Below are 17,720 nucleotides of genomic sequence, written 5' to 3'. Positions count from 1 at the left end.
TATTCAATCTACCCTGAACCTTGCAGACTAAAATGACCTCTTCCTCATTAATTCCCACAGGCCTATATTACAGCATTTGTGACAGAGATGGTCATTATTTGCCATCAGCCTTATTAGATCACTAAGGGCCTCCACAGCTCGTACCAGGTCTTACTCATATCAGTAGCCTATCATTCAGGAACCCTCAGAGAATTGCTCAGTAAACAAACCTATGCTAATGGTTGACTGATTTAGTCACTTAGACTTCCACAGAGACGAATACAGAAGTTTTTCAGTGTAACACTATTTCAGGTTATAGTTGGCATTTCTAGAAGATTCCACATGTATCACTTGGCATCTGACCTAAATGCACAAGTCTAGAAAGAGTTTTCCAAAATCACTTACCAATGAATTATGATCAGCTTCTTCGTAGGGATTTTTTGCTCTCCAAGGTAAATGAGGACACCAATTTTCAACCTAAAAAGCATCAGTGACACTAAATATGCAGCTTCATCTATAATGAATTAATATACATAAAAAGCACCGAGAACAGCTCCTGGCACACAACTAGCACTATATTAATATGTGCTATTTTTATTATTAGCCAAATTCCCATGCTTTTAGCTAGTATTCCAGATACAAGTGCCCTCTCAGATGAAACAATCAGCAGCAAAGGTCAGAAGGAAGAGATTATACTTTACATCTGTCCTTCGAAGTACTTTACAGCAATTAATTCCTTAGTCATTTAAGCCTCACATCTCTGTACCAGAAGGAAAGGCAGTCTAATGGCAGAAAGTTAAAAGACTGAAACATTGCCACTGGGGAATGAGAATGTAAGGTGTCTCTGTGACCCTTTAGCAAATGGACAGGAAAGATCCTTATCTGCTGTGGCATATCTGGAAAGGAAAGGGAATGGCATTGGAGCCACAGAACTCAATCCTTTATCTGAGTTAGGAATGCCACTGATAGCTTAGGGCTAATTGGTCAAGGTTTCCCTCATTTTCTAGCTATTTGCTTCACACTATCTCAAGAAATAAGGTGGTAAAACCTATCTGAGAAAGAAATGAAAGGAGGAGAAAAAAAAAAAACCTTGATGATCTTGTGAGAGCCAATCTGGAAGATGGATTGTTCTGTCAATGAATAAGGTTTAGAAATTGAGGGGAGGAGGAAAGAGAAAGGAAAAAAGAACTTGATTCTATAGAAATTATTTCAGCAAAGGTTATCAAAGACTATTAGGCAACTTAATTTCTAGCAAAAAAATGAGAAATGCATTAAAGTTATATTGGTGTCTGTTCTCTGTCAAAACTAGCCATAAAATTTGAAGACAGCATTATCACCCGTTTACTAATAAAGAATGAGATTATGAAATATGGCTAACAGGCATTGAAAATAATTTTTCTATGGCCAGGTAGATCTATAAAATTTAATGAGCAATAGAGTGAGGGAATGTCCTTAAAGGGGTCACTAAGATAGCAGAGACGTGTGGAGCTATAGCCTCATGGGTCAGCACAAGACAGTGTGCCCTCTCAGTCTGGGTAAGTTTTCAAAGAAACATGTCAGTTTTACTTAATCTGGAAGTTACTCATAATGCAAGGTGATCTTTACTATAACCAAAGTAATTGGCCTGATTTGCATAAAGCCATCTGCCACTGCAGATGATCCCAAAGCAATAAGCAGAGAGAAGCAAAGCTTGGGGAGAGGGCGGAATCTCTGAATAGGAAAAGTGAAATATTCTCTTATCTTCTTACGGGATAAAATTAGACCTTACCATATTTGTGAATGATTCAGAGACTCAAAAGGATTCCCCACAAGGAAAGCTAAAATGGTTTTTACTCATAAAAAAGAAAAGACCAACTTGCCTTGGAGGCCTACAGTCTAATTACTGGGATCTGACAACAACATGACCATGAAAGGCAATATCTGCAGCTCCACAAATGAGAAAAATGAGGAAAAACAGCAGAGAAAAAGCCTGCAAGTGGATGAAGCCTAAGCTGGTCTCAGTAGCATTATGCACATCTGTACCTTGTATTCTTAGGCCAGATTGAATTATTTAGCTCCAATTAGATTTGTGCTAATGGACTCAATAAAGCATATTTATAACATGAAGACTTCAAATGGATTGTAGACTTGATTGTGAGATCTTTAACCTCACCCCATCCCACCCCCAACCCTGCAAAAAAAAAAAAAAAAAAAAAAAGGATGAGCAAGGAAAGTAGAGATTTGAAATACACCTTACACCAAGTAAATAACCAAATTTACCAGCCACCCACCAGGATGAAGTTTTCCCAGGAATAGCATGATGGGGAAAGATGAAACAAGACTAAAGAAAATCAACTAAGAGGAGAGACATGAGCGAGACCAGATACTCATAAAGTTCTCTCCTCACTCTGCCACTGCAAGAAGAATCTTTCAAGATTCACTGTGATGAAAATACAGTCCCAGGTGATTTTTAAAAAGATGACTTCCCTACAGAAGCCTGAAGACTGTAATGCCTCTTTGAAACTGATCATTTATCTTAGTTCTTCTTATTCTAAATCACTGGGTATTACTCCCTAAGGCTCCAAGGGCACTCCTGAAAATATAAAATATAGAGTCAATCCAATTTAGCTTTTAGCAAGAAATTTTGCTGTTATACATGCACTCGTAATGGTGGGAAAATCAATTATGAACATCTTAGCACAGAGCGGGAAGGTGGGTTTTTAAGGTTGTTTTTGTATGCTGTGATAGGATAACTGGTTAACAAAATAATTAAATTATACATAAACCAATTATCCCATGGGGAGAAGGGAAAAACAAAACAAAGCATTTCTTTCTCTGGGAAACCTCGGAGGATTACCAGGATTGGAAGAAAGCCAGCATTGGCAATAACTCCAAGTACTGAAACAAACAGCTCTCAAATGAGCAACATTTTCCTAAATAAGAACACCATTAATAACATTCAAGGAAAATCTTGCTGAAGGCTAGTAACAACTTCCTAATCCCTAACTTTGTTTTCTTTTGATCTGTCCAGGGTCCTTTAACAAGCTTAACCCACCAGTAGAGGATGCTACCAATAAAGCTGGACCCCAAGGTGAGCCCCACCACCTTCTTTTTTTTTATTTTTATTATTATTATACTTTAAGTTTTAGGGTACATGTGCACAATGTGCAGGTTAGGTACATATGTATACATGTGCCATGCTGGTGTGCTGCACCCATTAACTCATCATTTAGCATTAGATATATCTCCTAATGCTATCCCTCCCCCCTCCCCCCACCCCACAACAGTCCCCAGAGTGTGATGTTCCCCTTCCTGTGTCCATGTGTTCTCATTGTTCAATTCCCACCTATGAGTGAGAACATGCGGTGTTTGGTTTTGTGTCCTTGCAATAGTTTACTGAGAATGATGATTTCCAATTTCATCCATGTCCCTACAAAGGACATGAACTCATCATTTTTTATGGCTGCATAGTATTCCACGGTGTATATGTGCCACATTTTCTTAGTCCAGTCTATCATTGTTGGACATTTGGGTTGGTTCCAAGTCTTTGCTATTGTGAATAGTGCCGCTATAAACATACATGTCATGTGTCTTTATAGCAGCATGATTTATAGTCCTTTGGTTATATACCCAGTAATGGGATGGCTGGGTCAAATGGTATTTCTAGTTCTAGATCCCTGAGGAATCGCCACACTGACTTCCACAATGGTTGAACTAGTTTCCAGTCCCACCAACAGTGTAAAAGTGTTCCTATTTCTCCACATCCTCTACAGCACCTGTTGTTTCCTGACTTTTTAATGATTGCCATTCTAACTGGTAGGAGATGGTATCTCATTGTGGTTTTGATTTGCATTTCTCTGATGGCCAGTGATGGTGAGCATTTTTTCATGTGTTTTTTGGCTGCATAAATGTCTTCTTTTGAGAAGTGCCTGTTCATGTCCTTCGCCCACTTTTTGATGGGGTTGTTTTTTTCTTGTAAATTTGTTTGAGTTCATTGTAGATTCTGGATATTAGCCCTTTGTCAGATGAGTAGGTTGTGAAAATTTTCTCCCATTTCGTAGGTTGCCTGTTCACTCTGATGGTAGTTTCTTTTGCTGTGCAGAAGTTCTTTAGTTTAATTAGATCCCCTTTGTCAATTTTGGCTTTTGTTGCCATTGCTTTTGGTATTTTAGACATGAAGTCCTTACCCATGCCTATGTCTTGAATGGTAATGCCTAGGTTTTCTTCTAGGGATTTTATGGTTTTAGGTCTAACATTTAAGTCTTTAATCCATCTTGAATTAATTTTTGTATAAGGTGTAAGGAAGGGATCCAGTTTCAGCTTTCTACATATGGCTAGCCAGTTTTCCCAGCACCATTTATTAAATAGGGAATCCTTTCCCCATTGCTTGTTTTTCTCAGGTTTGTCAAAGATCAGATAGTTGTAGATATGTGGCATTATTTCTGAGGGCTCTGTTCTGTTCCATTGATCTAGATCTCTGTTTTGGTACCAGTACCATGCTGTTTTGGTTACTGTAGCCTTGTAGTATAGTTTGAAGTCAGGTAGCGTGATGCCTCCAGCTTTGTTCTTTTGGCTTAGGATTGACTTGGTGATGCAGGCTCTTTTTTGGTTCCATATGAACTTTAAAGTAATTTTTTCCAATTCTGTGAAGAAAGTCATTGGTAGCTTGATGGGGATGGCATTGAATCTATAAATTACCTTGGGCAGTACGGCCATTTTCATGATATTGATTCTTCCTTTTCATGATATTGATTCTTCCTACCCATGAGCATGGAATGTTCTTCCATTTGTTTGTATCCTCTCTTATTTCATTGAGCAGTGGTTTGTAGTTCTCCTTGAAGAGGTCCTTCACGTCCCTTGTAAGTTGGAATCCTACCCACCACCTTCTTGACCTGAAAATGGTTCTATTTCAAGTCATTCTCAATAGCTCTTCTACTCTTGGCTCTCAGAGCCCTAGCGTCCTACAGCTGTCTATGACCACCTTCCTTCACACTTTCTCAACTGTGGCTCCTGGTACTCTCTCCCTGGGACATGATTTTATATTTCCCCTCAGTATGGAGACACACTGGGTACCCTGCCTCCCCCCACCAACCCCCTGCCGTCAACGCCATCTCTACCCAGCTTTTATGGCCTGGGAAAGACCTCCCTCAAGCCCTCTGCCAGGGAAGGGACTGGACAGTCTTAAAAGTAGCCTACAATTTACCACCATAAGTCTAAGAAATTAAAACTGTCTGAGCTCACGGCAACACGCACACAACAATCGATTGAGGAGAAGCATTCCTCCAGTAACCTTCAATTGGAAAGCAAACTCTGACATGAACTAATCTTTTTAGCTCACTAGCCTCAGGCCACAAAATGAAGAGAAAACAAAAACAAACAAAGACCAGCCAGGCTAAAACTTTAGAACATCAATGCACATTCCATGGAAAGGACCCTATAAAATCCCTTTTCTTGAACAAGGAGATATAAAATACAACAATTTGTTTTTTTGACATTCCTCCTCATAGTGATTTAAACTTCTTTGAACAAAAAGGGTTTTGCAGCTTAAACATGAACATTGTGAATCAAAGCATTCTCTGAGTCCCTAGAAGTCTAATCTGGTCAGACTTATTTCTAAGGTCTGTAGGATGGACAATTCATTATATTAAGGGGAAAAAAGTTGCTGGCAGATACATAAGACAGCTCAAGTTGGAGTTTAAAGATGGAAAGAAAAAGTAATAAAGCTACTGTGAAAACTAATAAATCCAATGTATATATGCATGTTGTTAGATATAATATGGCAAAACTCTTAGTAGTAATGTTCTATTCTTTTGAAAGAATAATGATTAGTCTGTGTTATGGCTTTTTCTTTCATGATTAATGTGAAGTATTCTGTTCTAATGGGTCACCAACACACAGGATTTCATGCTGTATTTTTCAGATGATTTAAGTATAATCAAAACTAAATGAGAGAAATGCATACGAGAAGTCTGAGATCATCTCTGGATGATGGTGTTCTGGGTGCTTTTCATTTTCTTTTTGCTAATCTACATATTATACATTTCACAATGAACATTAAGAGAATAATTTTTAAAGGAGTTACATAAGCATACCATCATGTATGAAGGCTTAGAATATGTTGGGCTTCGTAACACACACACACACACACACACACACACACTACACAATTTAATTCCCCATAGGGCCTTATAACACGGGTACTAGCAACATGTTACATGGGATGAAGTCAAGGCTTAATGTGAATTTGCCACTATAACTTCTCTAGTGAGTGGCAGGGCTGAGTGACAACTGAAATTTGTTGCCTCTCTGACCAGGATACATTAGAGTTACCTTTAGGCCAAGCTTAGTGAGGGATAAGAGACCTATTTCAGTGGGGAAAGATAACTGAATCTGGGATCAGTCAAAATGGACTCTATGCCCAACTCTGCAAATAACTAGGCATGTAATTTTAAACCATTTGGCTTTCAAGTTTTCTCATCTACTTTAGAGTTGGATCAGGTAACCCTCTTAATTTTATTATCCTATAAGATCTGAAAGATAGAATTTATGTCATCCTGTTAGGCTAGTTGGTCATATATCAAATCAATACAGTTGACTATATATCTAAATATTCATTTGACACACTGATTACGCTTATATATACATGCATACATAAACATACACACATTTGTTATACTGATGACATCCAGTGAAGTTACTCATTAAGGGATACACTAAAAAAAAGTAAGCCCCCTGCACTTCTCTCTACCACATGCCAACTCCCGATTCCTCTACTTTCTAAAGTTTTAATGATAAAATGCAGATGGTAAAGGATGTCTACTCATGTAAGTGGTAAGTGGTTCAGCTTTCTAGGCTAGTTCTCTGCACCAACACCTGAGTTGATTAATATTTTGGTCCGACTCCTTATCTGAAGAGCTGTGTAGGGGGAGTGGGCTGGGAGAGACAAAGAATAAAAGTTGCGATGTACTAGGAGCCAAGCATGAGGATAAGCCCTTTACACAGGTCATCTCATTTGGTCTTTTCAAATAACCTCTTGAGAAAGGCTAATTATCATGCTAGATGAAGACGCCGAAGCACAGACTAGATACAGCTAAAGATGGAAATGCCACCTGTCTTGCCCCAGAGCTGATATGCTCAATCACTATTTGAAGCACATTGGCTAAACTTTTGGTTCCTACAGTCCCAAAAACACAGTCCAGTCTTCAATATTGGAGTATCATCGCCTAGGTCTTCTGTATGAAATCCTTTAAAGTGATTATACTCCCGCTGCGTGGCAGTACTGTATGGTTAACGAATGTAGCAACAATTCTGCTTCCAACTCTTGCTCCTACCATTTGTTCTATGTAGCAAGAGCAAACGAAACGCCAAAATTGGATCACATTCTACACATACTCAAATGCTGCAATGGCTTCTCCTTGCTCTCAGAATAAAACCCAGAATTTATACCAAGATCTTATAGAATCTGACTTCAACTCCTACACTGTTTGCCTCATTCACCCTGCCCTACATAAGCCAACCTCCTTGCAAGTCCCAAGAACATGCAAGTTCATTCCTACCTCAGTGGGGTTGCCAGATTTAGGGAAAAGAAACAGGGCACTCAATTACATTTTAACCGTAGACAAACAACAGTTTTTGTTTTAGTATAAGTATGTCCCACACAGCGTTTGTCACATACTTATATTTGAAAAAACTCATTGTTTACCTGAAATTCAAACTTCATTGGCTGTAATGTATTTTATCTGGTAACCCTACAGCTCAGGGCATCTGCATTTGCTCTTCCTTCTACTTGAAACCCTCTTCCTTCTAGAGTGTTCCATGCCTCACTCCCTTACTTCCTTCCACACTATGCTCAAACTTCTCCTTACAGAAGCCTTCCCTGACCCACTGACCTGGCCACTCTGCATCCTCCCTAGTTTATTTTTCCTCAGAGTATTCAACCCTTGAGGCAATTCTTTTATATACTGATTTTATTGTTTGCTGCCCCATCTGCATGCAAGCTCCTTGAGGACAGAAACCTCATCTGTCTGGTTCTCACTCTATCTCCAGTCCTGAAAGCAGTACCTGGCACACAGGTAATGTCCAATTAGTATTTGTTAAGTAGTGAATGAATAAATCAAAAAGCATGACTTGGGCACTAAAGAGACTCATGATAATGATACTCTTTTCCACTTACGCGGCGCTTTACTGTTCTCATTTTATTGGAACCGTTCAATAATACACTGAGGGAGGCAAAGCAGACTTTATCTTGACCTCAATGAGGAGAAACCAGACTGAAAACTCAAGGGAAAGCTCAAAGCCACATAGGGAAGTGGTGGGATCCAGACAGCAAATCAGGTCTTGTGTGTTTCCTCTAACACTGTACTGCTGCCCCCTGACAAGACAGGGAGGAATATTATTAACACAAAGTACAGAACTGGCTACCTGCAAGAGACAGAGTACAGGGCCAGAGGGATCCATGAGAGTTCTGCTCAGCATATCAGGGGTGAGGGGGGGTGCAGAATTTAAAGGGATGTTGTAGTAAGTGTTCAGTGTGCCACAAAACCAGTGGGGTTCTAACAAGAGGATAAGACACTTTCAATAATCCATCCCAAATTGCTCTAAGAGGAGAAAGGCCAATTTTCCCTTATACATGAGAAGCAGCAAATAAATTCCTCTGTAGCCAACCAAACAGATAATGCATAGAGATACTTTCTATAGCAACTCTCACTAGGCACAGCTCCCACTGGATGCTGGCAAAACTGGTCCCAACTGGTCTGTATCCACATAAGGACATTTTGACAACTAAAGTCACTCAATTTTAAGAGGTAGTCATATTTTAGGCAACAATGATATAGCTCTTTTTTTGTGTTTAATGTGCAATTATGCTAAGTGACAATGAAAATAAAAAATGGGCAAGAAAGCTGTGCCTTCTAATACAATTGGCTCATTCCATTCTAACAGTCTATCTGAGCCCTTGTATGTTCTCATAATATTACAGAGCATTACAGTAGTCCTCTCTTATCCACGGCTTCACTTTCTAATATTTCAGCTACCCACAGTCAACTGCAGTCTGAAAATATTAAATAAAAAATTCCAGAAATAAACAATTCAAAAGTTTTAAATTGCGCAATGCTCTTAGTAGCTGATGAAACCTTGTGATTCCTGCTCCATCATGCCCAGGGCTGGAACAGCTCCTTTGTCCAGGGGATCCATGATATAGACACAACCCACTCACATTAGTCACTTAGTAGCCTTTATGTTACCAGATCAACTGTCTCAGTATCTCAGTGCCTGTGTTCAATAAACCCTCATTTTGCTTAATAGCAGCCCCAAAGCTCAAGAGTAATGATGCTGGCAATTCAGATATGCCAAAGAGAAGCCATAACATTGTGAAGAAGAAAAAAGTATAGTATATGGAGGGTTCGGTACCACCCTCAGTTTCAGGTACCACTGGGTCTTAAAATATATCCCTCATGGATAAGAGAGGACTACTGTATATTAAATGTGTTAATCAGTGCTCAAAACGCCCCTGCTTCATGTCTCAACTCAAATGTCTTAGCGGATTTTAATGTTACAAAGTTTACAACATTTTTTTTAAGATCGGAAGGGTTAGAGCTAGAAGTTACCCACTCAAAACAAAAAACTATAGCCAATTTTAAAAAATGCTTCAGATAGAACCATTCATTCAATAAACCCATGTGCCAGACATCATTGTACGTGAGAACAAAACAGACAAAACTCTCTGTGGAGATGACTTTGCTTGTACTTGTTGTTAACATTAGGTGTTAATGGTCACTCCAGGGCGACTGCACTTCTCTTCCCACTGCCTGCTAAACACCTGTCAGATATCTGCACTTCTTACTCCCTCACTTTCTTCAAATATGGTCCAACATCATTTTCTCACCTTCTCAGTAGGGCCTATCCTGACCACTCTATCCAAAACTGACACCATCACTTCTCATAAGTACTTCTTGCCCTCTCTTTAGTATTTCTCCCCAGGCATGCACTACAATCTAGATGATACATCTTACTTTTTTGATGTTGCTAGCTATCTCTCCTTACATAACACAACCATAATGAGGAGTGTTTATTCATTGTTACATCTCCAGCAGCCAGAAAAAAATCAATAGCAATTAATGCTCTTGGCACTCAGGTTGTGGCCCCTAAGCATTATTTCTAAGGAAACTGGGGTGGTATGCAGGCCGGGGGAGCAAGATGGTTCTTAGAGATGCTGGTTCCAGGCCTAGGGCAGGAACTGTATGAGATGAATCTGGAAGATCTTGGCATACCACAGAACAAGAAAACTATTACAAACTACCATGGTCATGTCAAAAGGTCTGAGAAAGCAGTATGAATAGGTCCTCACTGGCCAAAGCGGGGCAACTTGACAATCAGTAAGAAAATAACTGCAATGGATTGTTCAAATGTTTTAATCCATTACTACATAACGATAATAAAAAACAAAAAGCAAGCAAGCAAAAAGAAGAAAAGCTGGAAATTCTAGGAAATGAACTGGGAAATAAATGGTTTCTTCTATGAATTTCCTCTTAGGGTGATCACATACCTGATGAAGAGTCACATCTCTGCACAGAAGTATTCCTGATATATTAAGAAGGTACCTTTAATGAATTAATGAACCTGGGCACTGATCAATGATTGCTAACATCAAAAAAAAAAAAAAAAGAGAGAGAGAGAGAAAGAGAAATCAGGCATTATGTGCCTCCCAACTCAAGTATATAATACCATTATCCATGAAATAACTTGCACAAACAATATTAGGCACTATTCTGATCAAACCTCAGAGCTAGCTATCACTTTACTGGAAATACAAGGGGGCAAAGAGCCAGGTTATGCAACAACATGGGCTGTAACCAAAATTCAGAGTAAGACAAACTCTAAGGCAATGAAGCAGTTTCTCTAACAAAAAATTAGAAGGAGGAAAAGTAAGAGACGGAAGAGAACCTAAAATGAAGAGAGATTTAGGAGACATCAACAATTGCAATTTAGGGTCCTTACTGGAAACCCAGTTCAAATAAATAAACTTTAATTTATACAATGGCCTGAAAATGTGAATACTAATCTGATGTGAAGGAATTATGTTAATTTTCAGGTGTGAAATAGTATTAGCAGTTATAATGAGAATAGTTGTACAGTATGTTTTAAAAGTCTCTTTTAGAGATACACATTGAAACAGATGATATGATGCTTGAGATTTGTCCTAAAATAATGAAGCAGAGGAGGTTATAAATGAAATGAGACCGGCTATGGATTGACAATTGTTGAATATGGATCACGGGCACACAGGAGTTTGTTAAACTCTTTTGTAGTACATGCTGGAAATTTTGCATATTAAAAAGTTTAAAACATAATTTTAAAAGTATTTTTAGGGTCATACAATAGAAATTACATGAGACGATATTTAAATGTGTATAAAAAACAAATTGGAGATGACAGCATTGAAGCCCCATCCTGCCACATGTGTTCCAAGAAGCAGTCAAAGAAGTGTTGATTTGGGTTTTGGCAAGTCTTGTCCTTTGCCCTTCTGATTTTTGTAGAGTGGAGGCCAGAACAAGAAGTCTAAATATAAATGTTGTGGTATATAACATTCATAAACAGGAAGTGTTGCTAAGAACTTTAGTGGGTGAGGGGCTAAAGGGAGAAACTAACAGATCAGTTAGGCTGACTAACAAATACTGTTCTGTAAACTCAGGATTTTTTTTTTTTTAAATTCTTTTACTAAGGATGTCTTAGAACTCAGGTAGTAAGAGCAACAAATATATACAGATGAAAAAGATACCAATAAAGGCTGAACAGAGAAGGTGAAAAGAACATGATCATAAATCTCTGCCACCTCCTTTACTGCCCAGAAATATTATCTTGAGGAAAAGGAATTTCCCATTTCAAATGGCTGAACATTTGAAGGGTGTGTGTTGGTATTCTCGGGCAACAATCCGGTGATATTTTTAAAGTACTCCCTGACCCACCCCAAAACGTTAGTTGTTTTTACATTCAGGTTTTGTCCTGTAACCTAAGCAGTCTATTCTTTATCACTGCCCACTTTGACAAATTAGTCTGTGCAACACCATTTCCAAGTTATCTTTAGCAGCCAACACAGCTCATAAATCCAAATCATTGTACTGGTTATTAGGATTTCATTTCATGCTCGCATTCACAAACATTTAAGCTTTCAACCTTTCCTGTTGGGCATTAATCTTAGCATTAATCAAGGGATTAAGTATGCTGAATTTAAACTCAAGGTTAATTACATGCTCAGCCAATATTAGTTTTACATACTGCCAAGGGAGAACAGAAAGAAGCAAAGACCTTTACGTCTGTTGTTTATGAAATATAAGAACTAGATTGACAAGTAAGGCATGAAACTGCTTCTTTTGCTCCTTTGTGAAAGAGTCATAGACACACTCTCATGCATCTAGTCCAAATTGGCATTTGAAGCAATAGCTTGCACACATCCTAAGATCTAGCAATCAATCACTGGGCAATTTGATTATTTCAGAGCAACTCTACTTGCAATGGCAACAGAAGTGCATACAAGAAAAGCATAAACAAATTAGGAACTCTGGAAAGGTATGATGCTTCCTAGGTTCTGTAACAACTGTTTAAAAAGAAAAAAAAGTGCCAGTGTCAAATACATCAGTATCATCTATCAACATAATATCAACAGAGATGAAGAAATTCATTCTAAATTTTGTAAAAGCTGATAGCAGTAAAAGGCTCTGCAGATGGTTAAGTTAATATACCTGAAACAATGACATTCAGAGTAATTACTTTATAGGGCCCTGTCTCTGTAATGGGAGTAGTTACATGGCTCACGAAAACAGATACAGAAAATGAACTGCCTGATGTTCTGGAAATACAAGGCTGCCTAATGAATCATTTGCTCATTCCTACCACTTGGAATGGCTGACACCTGGTTTTCATGAGTTATGGCAGCAAGAGAGTTTGTGTTTTTTTGGAGGCGTAGGGTATCGAAATTATGGAGTATTAGACAACTAGCAATGAAGATCTATTCATTCAAGTTAGCTAAATTAGAGCCATTTTCCCATCACAAGTGGATTTAACCATACAACTGAATGCAAAGTCAATGGCTGCAAGTTAGCTACCTAAGATCCGTTTTCCTTCATCATAAAGGAGACAGCAGGAACAAAAAGTGCAGGACTTTGGGGATAAGCGACTTGACCTCTCTGAGCTATCTATGACTTGGCTCTCCATTACTCTTTAGAGTTGGCAAGAGGTTTAAATAAGATTGTGTATAGCTGACCCACAGTATCTGTTGGGGACTGGTTTCAAGACCCCTGTGGATATTAAAATCCTCAGATGCTGAAGTCACTTAAATAAAATGGAGTTATTCTGTATTTGAGGTGTCTGGTACAGTGGAGCATCAATAGTCTTTCATTCTTCTCTTGTCTGCCCCAAAGTCCCACCTCTAAAGAAAGGCAACCACTCAGCTTTTATCTCTACCATCTCTAGTACAGCGTCAGACATATAACAAACAGCTGTGGGGGTATTTTAAGGAAAAATATTGATGGCTTTTCTTCCTGGGATTTAACCAAAAAAGATCCATAGACTACAAGTTGGTGAGGGTGAAAGTACTAACAGAAGTTTCTAATCCCATAACTCAGCGGAAGCTGGTGAACTGAGACAACCCTAAGAAAGAAAAATGAAGGAAGAGTACCATCTCTTAAGACAGGTCTGAATCTAAATGCTCCAATTCCACTAGTGACTGACTATACAAGAGACATTTTACTTCATGTCCTTTTGGCATCTGTTAAAGCTCTGATGTTAAACATAGATCAAAACAAGAACTGGCTCTTTCAATAAGGATTAGGAATAGAATAAAAGTCACTGGTGCATGTGTTGATCACATTAACAACTCAAATGAAGATGTCTCTCTCAATCATCTCCCCAGTTGCAAGAGAAACCTAGATGATACAGGAAATAAAAACGCAGGTTTCAGAGTTAACTTAAATAACAGAATAAGGAAAGTTTCAAGACAGCAGGAAAGAATAAAACCACACAAGTGAACCAACAGCTCCTACAAAGCCACAGATATTGTCCAGGATTTTAAAAATACTAAAAAGGAATTAATCGGTTTTACAAAACATCTCTACTAATCTCACATTAACAATGGTAGGGTGCACTGGGTCCATACGTGCAGCTAATTCCAGTGCAAACCCAAGTATCATGTCCAGAAATGACCAATCAAGGGAAAATACTCTCACCACAAATAAATATGTATGTGAAGTAATGCACATGTTAATTAGCTTGATTTAGCCATTCCACAATGCAGACCCATATCAAAACACCAAGTTGTATACCATGAATACATACAAACGTTGTCAATTTAAAAATAGGCATTAAGGGAAACAGCTGAATTTCTATATTACCAGAAGTCAAAGGATCTAAAATTGCATTACACTGGTAAATGAGAACCAGAAATTGATTCTAATTCTAAAATGGAACAATGTTCCCACATATAATGTCCAAGGCAAAGTGACACCCCACAACTATTCCAAAAAGATCACAACATTTAAAACCACGGAAGTGTCAGTTATGCTTATTGAGTGTCTTTTATCTGCCGGGTTGTACTCTAAGTACATTCCTATTATTTCATAAAGGAAGAATCCTAGGCACAAAAGGTTAAGTGACCTCATAGAGCTGAGAAAGCAGCAGAAACAGAAGCTGATGTCAGGTGTGACTCTAAGATATTATTCCTATTGAAGGGACCATATTGGTGACATTCTCCTTCAACTCTCACAGGGTACTTATTACAATGCTATGATAACATAGAAAAGCCCTGAGGTTCAGGGTTATATTCAGATTAAAACTTGTAAGAAGGGGTCCCTAGTTATCTCCACCCATTCTCCTGGTTCAGTTACCTGCATCCTTTCTTCCTGTTGCTTTTACAATGATTAACACATAACGTGGTGTCAAGAAAATGTGTTTTCATTAATTGTTGACAATGAATTCAATAACTGCTCACTGAACAGAATTCAGCCAAGCAACAAAAAGACCACCCGATATCTGCATAAGAAGAGAGTGGTATGAGCTAATGAAGCGTATTTCACACCTCAGGAAGAGAAAACGTAGTTGCTCGTTCCAAAATGAAATACTCAGCCTCAGATAGCAAGTGATATGTGATCCATCATGTCTCTTCATCCCGTATTCCTCTCTACTTCCCTTCCCCAGAACCTCACTTTTCTCTCAGCTTAGCCATATACTTCACTGGGAGCAGGGGTGAAGTGTGACAAAGGGAGGGAAAGAAGTCACAAATAACTGCAGTCTCTTCCATTTGGATCACTCTCCATGCCTTCCAAGGAGATGTAAGTATGGGAATGTAAAATCCTCTGCCTCAGCAGCATACCCCAACATGCAAAGGCTTAGGAAGGCATGAAATTAGCCCAGCTTGTCAATCATGGAGCTTGGTCAGACTCTGGCTAAATTCTTTCAAGTAGAAAGGGGAATAAAACTTTTGAAAATTAAACTAAATGAGGAACCTTTTCCTCAGGGCAGGAGAGGTACTTCTAATTGACTTTTCAACTAGAGTGAAGGTTCACGCATGGCCCCAGGCTTTACTCCTCTGGAGAAGGAAATGAGAAGGCAGGCCACAAGCCACCCAAGCCGGAAGCCAGAAACTCATATAAATGCTATCAAGTCAATTTGCCAGCAGCCTGCTAATGAGGAGCCTCACACACCCAACTCTCAGAGCTGTTCATTTCCAAGAGGTATTTTAACTATCGTTAGCTCTGGGGTTTTCATGATGGCAATGGAACAACCTTGTCCCCCTTCCCCCAAAAAATCATGGAGCCCGGTTGGAACCCCCAAAAAGTGTAACTTGAATGCACCCAGGCAAAAGAAGTAATAGTCTGAGAGAGGGGCAAACCCCACAGAATCAGGGCCACATGCCCTATTAGCAATACTGTTTGGCCTCTATCCCCATCACCCTATGGCAAAGAAAAGAGAGGCATCTGAATCCCACAAAAGGAAAACTATGGCAAGAATATTTTATTTAGCCTCAAAAATGAAGGTGTTCTCCTTCCTGCATGGCATCACCAGCTGTTATTATTGGTCAAATAACAACAGCAACAGCAAACAAAAACGGGGGACAGAATAAAAAGAAAGGGCAGCAGAGGGTCTGTGGAGGCATGACCTCAGAATTGGCCAGAACCTGTTTCACAAGACCCCAAAGCTGCCTACTCTGCTCCAACCCCTTCCTCCCCCAGTCCATAAAGGGGAAGCCAGCCGGTTTTGATTCCCAAGAGGTTCTAGGTGAAATGGATATCCTTAAAGTCTGTAAAAAATTCAAGTGGCCCATAAAGTTCTCTGCAACCGTTAAAAAAAAAAATACAAAAGCTGCTATTTAAATTCAAGGGTACAAATGAAAATGATGCTCAGATTTAGGGAAAAAAGGAACGTAAATGTAACTATCTTTTAGTTACTTCCCTCCCAAACCTAGCCTTACGCATCTCTTCCCTCTGGCTGTTTCTGAGTTGTTTCTGTTATAATAAACCAGTAAATGCTTCCTGGTCTTTAAAAGGAGGAGGAGGACATAGACTCTGCTATTCAGATCCACACACTGATCCCTCTACAAGCAGTGACTCAAACACTGAATCTGAATAGGGTGGCTCTGGTGACTGAGATGGCAACCTCTCTAAAGATCTGGAGCCTGCTCTTGGCCCTGCTTTGATCCTATGCAGGCTGCTTGTACACAGGAAGAACATCTACTGGTGGGAACTCATAAAACATCACTACCCACGTTCAAGAGTACAGATGTGATGTCCTCATGAGAGAAAAAGAAGTGCTCTAAAAGATAAGAGCTCTCACATGTTCATCTAAATCTCAGGTTACCAAATTGAGCATACACATGCTAATGACAACTGGGATGACTGCTATAGACATGCATATGTACGGACCCAGAATGCACCCAATGTACTCAAGTGTCACTGGGAGAATTCCAAAAATAGCTACACAGAGAGCAGGAGCTTCAGCTACATTGAATTCCACCACAGCATGGATGAGTATGTTGATGGCATAGAGGACCTGAAGATAAAGCCTATCAGCAACCAGAAGGTCTACCCACATTCCCAGGTTTTGGTAGAGTATTCCATACTTCCCAAGTGGTAGCCCCTGCCTATGTCCATTGTCCCATCACTCCCACTGTGCAACTGATACCATAACTTTCCCTATGTTGTTTCTCTGCCTTGAATACACTTTTGTCTTTCATTTACCTAACTTACTTATAACATTTTTTTTTCTCAAGATTCTGATCATGTGGCATCTCTTCTTGACAAACCCAGGAGATTTCCTGATATTGACTCTCTTTATACCTAACCCAAGCTGAATGATCCTCCTTTCTCTAAATAATTTGTATTATTCAAAAAACAAAACCAGAAAATAACAAGTGTAGGTGAGAATATGAAGACATTAAAATGCTTGCACACTGTTGGTATAAAATGGGGCAGCTGCTTTACAAAATGGTATGGCAATTCCCCCCAAAATTAACAATACAGTTACCATATGATCCATCAATTTCACTTCTGGGTATATTTCCAAAATAACTGAAAGCAGGGTCTTAAGGGGGAGTTAGTGTTTAATGAGTCTAGAGGTTCAGTTTTGCAAGATACAAGGAATTCTAGAGAGGGACAGTGGTGATGGTTGCACAATGATGTGAATATACTTAATGCCACTGAACTATACACATTTGAAAATGGTTAAGATGGCAAATCTCACGTCTATTTTACTACAATTTAAAGAAAAGCTAGAAA

At 39.1% G+C, this 17,720-nt stretch overlaps 1 protein-coding gene and 1 pseudogene across 23 annotated transcripts in view; one reads left to right on the top strand and one right to left on the bottom strand.

Moving 5' to 3' along the window:
• The window catches only part of MGAT5 (alpha-1,6-mannosylglycoprotein 6-beta-N-acetylglucosaminyltransferase), a 334,687-nt gene that overhangs the window by 117,949 nt on the left and 199,018 nt on the right, over positions 1–17,720 (bottom strand). For all 23 annotated transcript variants that reach the window (XM_006712534.4, XM_047444397.1, XM_047444400.1 and 20 more), the window contains one exon: positions 385–456. In XM_006712534.4, the coding sequence (XP_006712597.1) occupies positions 385–456 (72 nt within the window). The remainder of the gene's footprint in view (positions 1–384; positions 457–17,720) is intronic.
• On the top strand, positions 16,493–17,119 carry EDDM3CP (epididymal protein 3C, pseudogene; annotated as a pseudogene).

The sequence above is a fragment of the Homo sapiens genome, chromosome 2 (assembly GCF_000001405.40).
Source record: "Homo sapiens chromosome 2, GRCh38.p14 Primary Assembly".
NCBI classification, from domain to species: Eukaryota; Metazoa; Chordata; class Mammalia; order Primates; family Hominidae; genus Homo; species Homo sapiens.
This window is presented reverse-complemented; position numbering and strand designations above follow the sequence as displayed.